This window comes from Homo sapiens, chromosome 18 (assembly GCF_000001405.40).
Source record: "Homo sapiens chromosome 18, GRCh38.p14 Primary Assembly".
NCBI classification, from domain to species: domain Eukaryota; kingdom Metazoa; phylum Chordata; class Mammalia; order Primates; family Hominidae; genus Homo; species Homo sapiens.
In genome coordinates this window covers 41,901,286-41,909,249 of record NC_000018.10, presented here as the reverse complement: position 1 = coordinate 41,909,249, position 7,964 = coordinate 41,901,286, and the positions used below count along the sequence as shown (strand labels likewise).

The 7,964-nt window shown below is 41.3% G+C and overlaps 1 long non-coding RNA gene across 1 annotated transcript in view; it reads left to right on the top strand.

The window, feature by feature from the left end:
• Positions 1-986: 986 nt before the first annotated feature.
• LOC105372085 (uncharacterized) overlaps positions 987-7,964 on the top strand; it is a 34,754-nt gene continuing 27,776 nt past the window's right edge. The window contains exon 1 of the long non-coding RNA XR_935411.2: positions 987-1,265. This is a non-coding gene — a long non-coding RNA (uncharacterized LOC105372085). The remainder of the gene's footprint in view (positions 1,266-7,964) is intronic.

Here is a 7,964-nt window from a genome sequence, read left to right as displayed (position 1 = left end):
CTCACAGGTTCAAGCGATTCTCCTGCCTCAGCCTCCTGAGTAGCTGGGATTACAGGCACCCATGACCACGCCCGGCTAATTTCTTGTATTTTTAGTAGAGATGGGGTTTCACCATGTTAGCCAGGATGGTCTCAGTCTCCTGACTTCGTGATCTGCCCGCCTCGGTCTCCCAAAGTGCTGGGATTACAAGCGTGAAACACTGTGCCCTGCCTACATATGAAGCTCTTTAAGAGGTCTCACTGCATTACCTCTTTCTAGACTTCAGTTTAAGGGCAGGCATGCCTTACTCTTTTTGGTGTGTTTATTGGTGAGGGAGTGTTAGCTATATTCAAAGCACGGCACCTCACCTAATCTCCAGCTCCTGATGAAAGTGATGGTTTAATAACTACAAATCCAGTTTCAGTCAGCTCCTTTACGGTTCTGTGGAGGAACTCTCACCTCACTGTGAAATGTAGCGTTTATTCAATCTTGAGGTAGATTGCTAAAATGGTCCTCCCCACTTTCTTTTAAAGCTTATCCTTTTATCCAAATGCTGTGCAATGAGACTTTTACTTCATCCCATCAGAAGGTGGAGGGTTTGTTTTTAATTTTATTTATTTATTTGTTTATTTATTGAGACAGTCTCATTGTAGCCCAGCATGGAGTGCAGTGGTGTAATTTCAGCTCACTGCAACCTCCACCTCCCAGGCTCAAGCAATCCTCTAGCCTCAGCCTCATGAGTAGCTGGGACCGCAGGCACGCACCACCATGCCTGGCTAATTTTTTAAATTTTTAGTAGAGACAGGATTTCACCAAGTTGCCCAGGCTGGTCTCAAACTCCTAAGCTCAAGCGATCCACCTGCCTTGGCCTCCCAAAATGCTGGAATTACAGGCATGAACCACCGTGCCTAGCCCAGAAGGTGGAGTTTATTTCATCATAATCAGAACTGATCTTATGATTTGCTTTGGTCATCTGATTGCAGTGGAGTGCTAGTTCCAAGCTTAGGCCTCAAGAAGTCTTGTATGGTTTTGCTTTCTCTGGATACCTTGCACCACCATGTGAACAATCCCAGTCTAGTACGCTGGAGGCCAGGAGACTGCCAGAAGAGCGCAGTTGTCCCAGCTGTGGCTATCTTAGACCAGTCTACAACCAGCTTAACATATGGGACATACATATGGGAGAGCTGGACCAAGAACAGCAGAGCTGCCCATCTGATCCCCAGCTAAGGCATCAGTAAGCCTAGCCAAGACTGGAGACTGAAACTACCCAGCTACCGTACAGGCTTGTGAGTTATAATAAAAGCGTGTAGTTTAAAGCTACTATGTTTTGGGGTGATTTATTATGCAGCAAAAACTAATTAATACAAGTCTCAATGAAAACTAAGACTAAAATAGTTCCATTTTGACATCCTGTTACAGTAATATAGAACTTGAAGGATGAATAAGGTTGAATAAGTGAGGAGGGAAAGGAAGAATATTACAGACTGGGAAGAAGGGGCAATGATAAGAAAATGAAGAGAGGCTGATATTCAGGAGTCAGTGAATATGCAAATGTGTAGATAATACTTTTTTTTTTTTTTTTTTTGAGATGGAGTCTCGCTCTGTAGCCCAGGCTGGAGTGTAGTGGGGAGATCTCGGCTCACTGCAAGCTCCACCTCCCGGGTTCACGCCATTCTCCTGCTTCAGCCTCCCGAGTAGCTGGGACTACAGGCGCCCGCCACCACGCTCTGCTAATTTTTTGTATTTTTAGTAGAGACGGGGTTTCACCGTGTTAGCCAGGATGGTCTCGATCTCCTGACCTCATGATCTGCCTGCCTCGGCCTCCCACTGTGCTGGGATTACAGGCGTGAGCCACTGCGCCAGGCCGATAATACTTGTATTATACTAGGGCACAGAAGAAGAAGGTGAGGTTGGGTTCGACTGAAGAGACTTTGATTTTGGGATGGGAGATTCTGCTATCATTCCGAATGTAACCGAGAACCACTGAAAGTGATGTCTGTGGTTTTCTCCATCCCCAATGTTCACGTTTCTCTTTTATTTCAGCCATCATGCAACCCTAGAATGTTTGCTAAAATAGAGGATAGAAGCAAGAGAACCAACTCAATTTTATTTCACAGAGTAGTGACTATCCATAAAGAAGGCTTTCTTTCTCAATGTGTTTCCTTGTGCATAAACCCCAGCCTACATTTTATGGTTTGAAGCACACTGACAGAAGATGAGCCAAGATACTTCTATCCTGACCAAAGAGAAACAGATGGAAGAAATAATTTCCTCAGAAAAAATGCTAGTACACAAAAATCATCCTGTTTTAATAAAAAAGTTAAAAACATGTTTGGTTATTTATGAAAGGCTTTAAGTCTTTTCTTCTTTCTTAAAGTGACATGTTAATTTATTGCTAACCACTAGATGGCACTTGTGTACAGTATTTGAAATTGACTGCGGTGAAAATAAGAGTACCTGTGGTGTGGTCAGAATAGAATCTGAGGTTTTGCTGTTATGCAGCCCACTTCCTCCCCCACAAGAAGTCAGGAGGGGTGTAGGAGAGAAGGCCTAAATCTCTTCTGCGCCTTTTTGACTTATAAAGAAAAACGAAGATGGCAGAAGTGTTTCTGATTAGATCGAGAAAAAGGATGATGCATTCTTGCCGGATGAATCAGGAGAGATGATGTTCTGTCGTTCTTTAGATATAGACCTGAAATACTAACTTTAAATTTATGGTTGCTAGTATGAGCCATGGTTCTCTATTTACCCAGTTAGTGCATTTGGGGGAAGCATGAATTGTGCCTTCCAATTTGTTACTTTATCACACTGACAATTTTGGAAGATATAATAACTCTTACCCTTTTGGGTGAAAAAATGGATCTCACAAGTCTGCTTATCAGATCACCATAGTTTGATTCATCTTTATGAGAGTTGGCTGCCTGGTTGTTCATTGCTGCCTCCAACTCATCTGGACATTTTCAAATGATGCAAAGGTTGATAGCAACTGTGAACATCATCCACAACTGTAGTGTTGAGAATAATGTAGGAAAAATCTTAAGAAAAAAGATCAGCAAACAATCAGGCAAGCAGGCAAACAAACAAAAATTCCATAATTCAATACATTCCAGTGCAAGTCTAGAGGAACTGCAATCTTGCCTAATTGTGTCCCTCATTTCTCTGGCCCTGAGACTATTATCAATATATAGAACTACCCAGCAAACTGTAACTTTTTCTGGGAGGTAAGATGCTGGCAATCTTCCAGGTCCAGCTTTGTCAACCCCATTAGCTTGTCACCACTGTGCTGATCCTGATCTCTTTCAGGGCTCATCTAATCTGGCCTTTCAGTAGCCTCAGCTTTCTCCTGTTTAGCCTAAGCTGCTGTAAGCACACGTTGTGAAGTACCACTAGATCTGATATAAAAGGGACATCTGTCCTAAGGAAGATTAGGGTGGGATCAAGAAATCCCAATAGGACAACAAGAAAACAGCAGATTGGGTCATAGGAGTAAAGAAAAATCAGAAACAGAAAGGCATGTGCTGGGGAAGTACAAGACCACACATGGGAGCCCTCTGTGATGCCTCTGGCCTTCAGGATGGCGTCTCTTGGTCTTCTCCTTGGTCACTTGGAGCTTGTATGCTCTTTTCCAAATCTTTTTATGAAATCCTACCTCAGGAAGAGGATTGATAAATTAATTCCAACTGAAGATTGTCATTCCATAGGAAACAAAGCATGAATTTGATAAAGAAATGGAATCAAATTCTGATGGTAAGAATGCAAGTTTTGACAAGCAGTGTCAGTGATACCTCCCTCTCATTTGTGAAGCTACCATTTAGGCTATTTATGTTTGTGTTTTAAAAAAATTAACCTTTACCACATAAATTAATGTATGACCAGAAACCTAGTTAGCTTCCTGCATTCAACAGCACCAAACACGTTAAAGTTGTATCGGAAATAAATGGTGGCAAATTATTGGTAGAGTGCTGGAGTTGGAATTTGGGGAGGGCCACACATAAGAACACAAAAAAGTAAATACATCAGTAAGTATGCATAAGAAGCTAGAGGATCATTTGGAGGTAGAAACAGCAAAGGGGTTAGAGTCTGGCTGAATTGAAGGAGCATGAACAGTTCCTAAGCACTATGAAGGAAAGAGGTAACCCTTCATGGTAGGGTGAGGCAAAGAGCCACAAGTCCAAAAGGCAATCTGCTTCCAGAGCTGGCATGGTCAGAGTGAGACAGAGCTCCACTGATGGCAGGCACTGTCAGACACCATGTACTGGCCTAAGAGTAAGGGTTCAATTGCTCTCTGCTGTTAGTTGTCCTCCCTCATACAGTGGCCCTGAACTTGGAGGCATTAACCAATGCCAGAAGGAAGTCTGAAGATTTGGATATTTTAGAGTGTTTGTGCTGCTATAACAGAATACCATAGACTAAATAGCTTATAAACAACAGAAATTTATCTCTTATAGTTCTGAAGGCTAAGAAGTCTAAGATCAATGTGCTAGTAGATTTGATATCTAGGGAGGGCCTGCCTCCTGTTTCACAGATGGCCTCTTCTCATCATGTCCTCATATGGTGGAAAGAGCAAGTGATTTCTCTGGGGCCTCTTTTATAAAGGCACTAATCTTATTTATGAGAGCTCAGTCTTTATGACCTAATCACCTCCCACAGGCCCCACCTTCAAATACCCTCATATTGGGGATTAGATTTTAACATACGAATTTTGGGGGACATGAACATTTGGATCATAGCATTCCAACTTTGGCCCTCCCAAATTCATGTCCTTCCTGCATATAAAGAGCTGAAAAAGTCTTAAATTGTTCCAGCATCAACTCAGATCCGAAGTCCAAAGTTTCATGTAAATATCATCTAAATCAGATATGTGTGAGACTCAAGGTATGATTCATCTTGAGACAAATTGCTTTTTAGCTGTGAACCTGTGAAATCAGACATGTATGTGCTTCCAAAATACAAAGACGGGGACAAACATAGATTAGACATTGCCATTTCCAAGGGAAGAAATAGGAAAGAAAAAAGAGTTAACAAATCCTCAGCAAATCTGAAACCTAATGGAGCAAATAACATTGAAACTTAAGGTTTAAGAATAATCCTCTGGCTTGATGTTCTTCCCTCTAAGTGTACTGGGGTGGGGGATCTGGCCTTCTGACCCACTGGGTGGGGGTGTTCACCCAGGGGTTCCACCCCTATGGTGGCTCTGTACCTGGACTCTACCCTTGTTGTGGCTCTCTTCAGTGGTCTCACCTTCATGGTTACTCCATGCCTATGTCACATGCCCATAGCTGGCCTAGTCTGGAATCAGGTGTAGGTTGCTCTGTGATTTCTCTGCACATTTCTCTAAGGAGGGATTTCTGTGGTGGTCTTGTGCTTGCTGGGGCTTTTGCACTCTGGGTCTGTGATGGGAGGGACAGCCCTGATTATTTCTCAGTTGCCTTTGGGATTATTCTTCTGTTGTCTTTGACGAGAGCTCCTGACTTCTGTTTAGGTGGCTGGCTCACCCTATCAGATGATCTTTGGCTACGCTCTTCATGTTTTCTCTGGAACAGCCTTTCTCATTCATTTCAATATGGATAAGCTGAGAATTTTCCGTATCTTTAAGTCCTGTTTCCTTTCCTTCAACAATTCCATCTTTAAATCATTTCTGCCTTCTCTCATTTTACTATAAATAGTGATGAGGAACCAGACAACTCCTTCAACACTTTGCTTAGATATTTCCTAAGCCAAAGATCCAGTTTCATCCCTTGCAAGTTTTACCTCTCACAAAACACTAGGACACAAACGCAATTCACAAAGACGAGCTTTCCTCTATTATCTAAAAACATGCTGCTTATTTTTGTCTGAGACTTCATCAGAACGGCCTTTATATTTCTACCAAGTGTGTTTAGGATCTCTAAACACTCTGTTTAGAGAATTCTTAGGTATTCTCTAAAAAGATTGAAACTTCTCTACAGCTCTCCTCTTTTTTTGTGTGTGTGATCTCAGAATTGCTCTTAGTAGTCGCTTCAAGTCAGTATTGACTTTTTCTAGCATGCACCTCAAAACTCTCCAGCCTCTACTGAGTTCCAAAGCTGCTTCTACTTTTTTAAGTATCTATTATAGCAATACCCCCACTTATTGGTTCCAATTGTCTGTCTTAGTTCAGTGGGGCTGCTATAACAGAATGCCATAGACTGGATGGAACAGAAATGTACTTTTTAGCATTCTGGAGGGTGGAAGGTCCAAGAGCAAGGTGCTGGAAGATTTGATGTATGGTGAGAGCCCACACCCTGTTTTATAGTCAGCCTCTTCTCATTGTGTTTTCCATATGGCCGAAGGGATGAGAGCTCTCTGTTGGACCTCCTTTATAATGGTACTAATCCCACCCATGAGGGGTCTGTCTTTATGACCTAATCATGTCTCAGGACTTACTTCTGACTACCCTCACACTGGGGATGAGGTTTAACATGTGAAGTTTTAGGGACACAAATATTCAGATCATAGCATTGATCCATGCTACTATTGTTGGAAGCAAACCAAAGATGACCAGAAGATTCCTAAGTATAGTGAAGTGGATTTTGATCATCGATGAGAAATGGTCATCTTCAGGCCCAGTGGCTTCCTGTACTGGGCTTTTTTTCCTACCCAGCTATTACTCTTTTTCCTTCTGCTATGAATATGTTCCTTCCTTCAAGGAACTGACCTTTTTCTACTCCATGTGGTTCTTTTGTGTCTGCCAAAGATAGCCTCTCGGTCTTTGAGTTTTAGGTTAGGCATGTTATCAGGTCTCATCAAACATAGTATCTGGCATATAATTCATTTATGATCTAAAACCAGCCAGAGTTCTTCCCTAGGTTTTATGTATGGAAAAATGCTGTTCTTTTTTTGTCTGGAATAGCAAAACTGGGGTGATTCAAGCCTGTAACTTTTGGTAGCCTTGCTCCTTCCTCTCCTTACTACATGGAGAAAGACTATCTGAAGTCATAGAAAATGAGGCCAACATGCAGAAACAGGCAAAGATGTGAGTTGAGCAGAGAAAGAGATAATAAAATAACTCATCTGTTTTGAGCTGGGTCTCTGTCACTGGCAACCATGAGAATCTTGACTAGTATATTCCCCAAACAGTCCAACTGAGGTTCCTAATTTGGCACATGCATTTCTTCTAGGAACTAACTAAATCATTTCTATCTCTAGCTTAGCTTGCCATATGATTCTAATAGGGATAATAGTATTTTTGGAAGAAAATATAACTATGATTCAAATTTTGATTATCCTAACTCATGATCTTTTTATGACCTGAAGCACAAGTATTAGCTATCCCTGAAAGAGATATTATTTAGGACAGAATCAGATAATATTTACAACAATTTACCACATTGTTTAATAGGGGAAATTATAGTGAATGGAATTTTTACCAGCTCATGGCTTTTTTCTTAAATACTGCAATGACTGGTAGGGTACTGCTCTGGCCAATATTCTTCTCTTATATTTTCTATTAACAAGGACAGAAAGTGAAATGGAAGAAAGATTTCTTGGAGTTCTAAGCTAGCTTAGGCCTGACAGCAATGAGATCAGGGGAAGGAAAAACAAACATCAGCATAAACTAGAGTGTAACTTATTGCTTTTAGGTCCCATAGACTACTCCTCTTGCCCTCCACACTCTCTCGCCAAAGAAGAAACGTCAGGAACCTTAGTCCAACTCCCTTATTTTATAGATGAGGAGCCCCAAGAGGTTAATTAAATGAACTAACCAATGTCACAAAGCAAGTTCCTGAGGAACCCAGATTCCTAGTCCTCTTTTGATAGGTTAAATTGCATGTAAATACTTGTTCTAAGAGAAATTACTTTATGCTATCACTTAAAATGGTTATTTTCTTCCATTAATGAGTTCCAGATAGTAGATGAAGAAAGGGGCTAGGCAACCTTTATAAAAACATAAAAGCAAATACATGTATATTTGTAGTTTGTCTTTTTCTCTAAGCACCATCACACCATATCTTGATTTTTTCTGC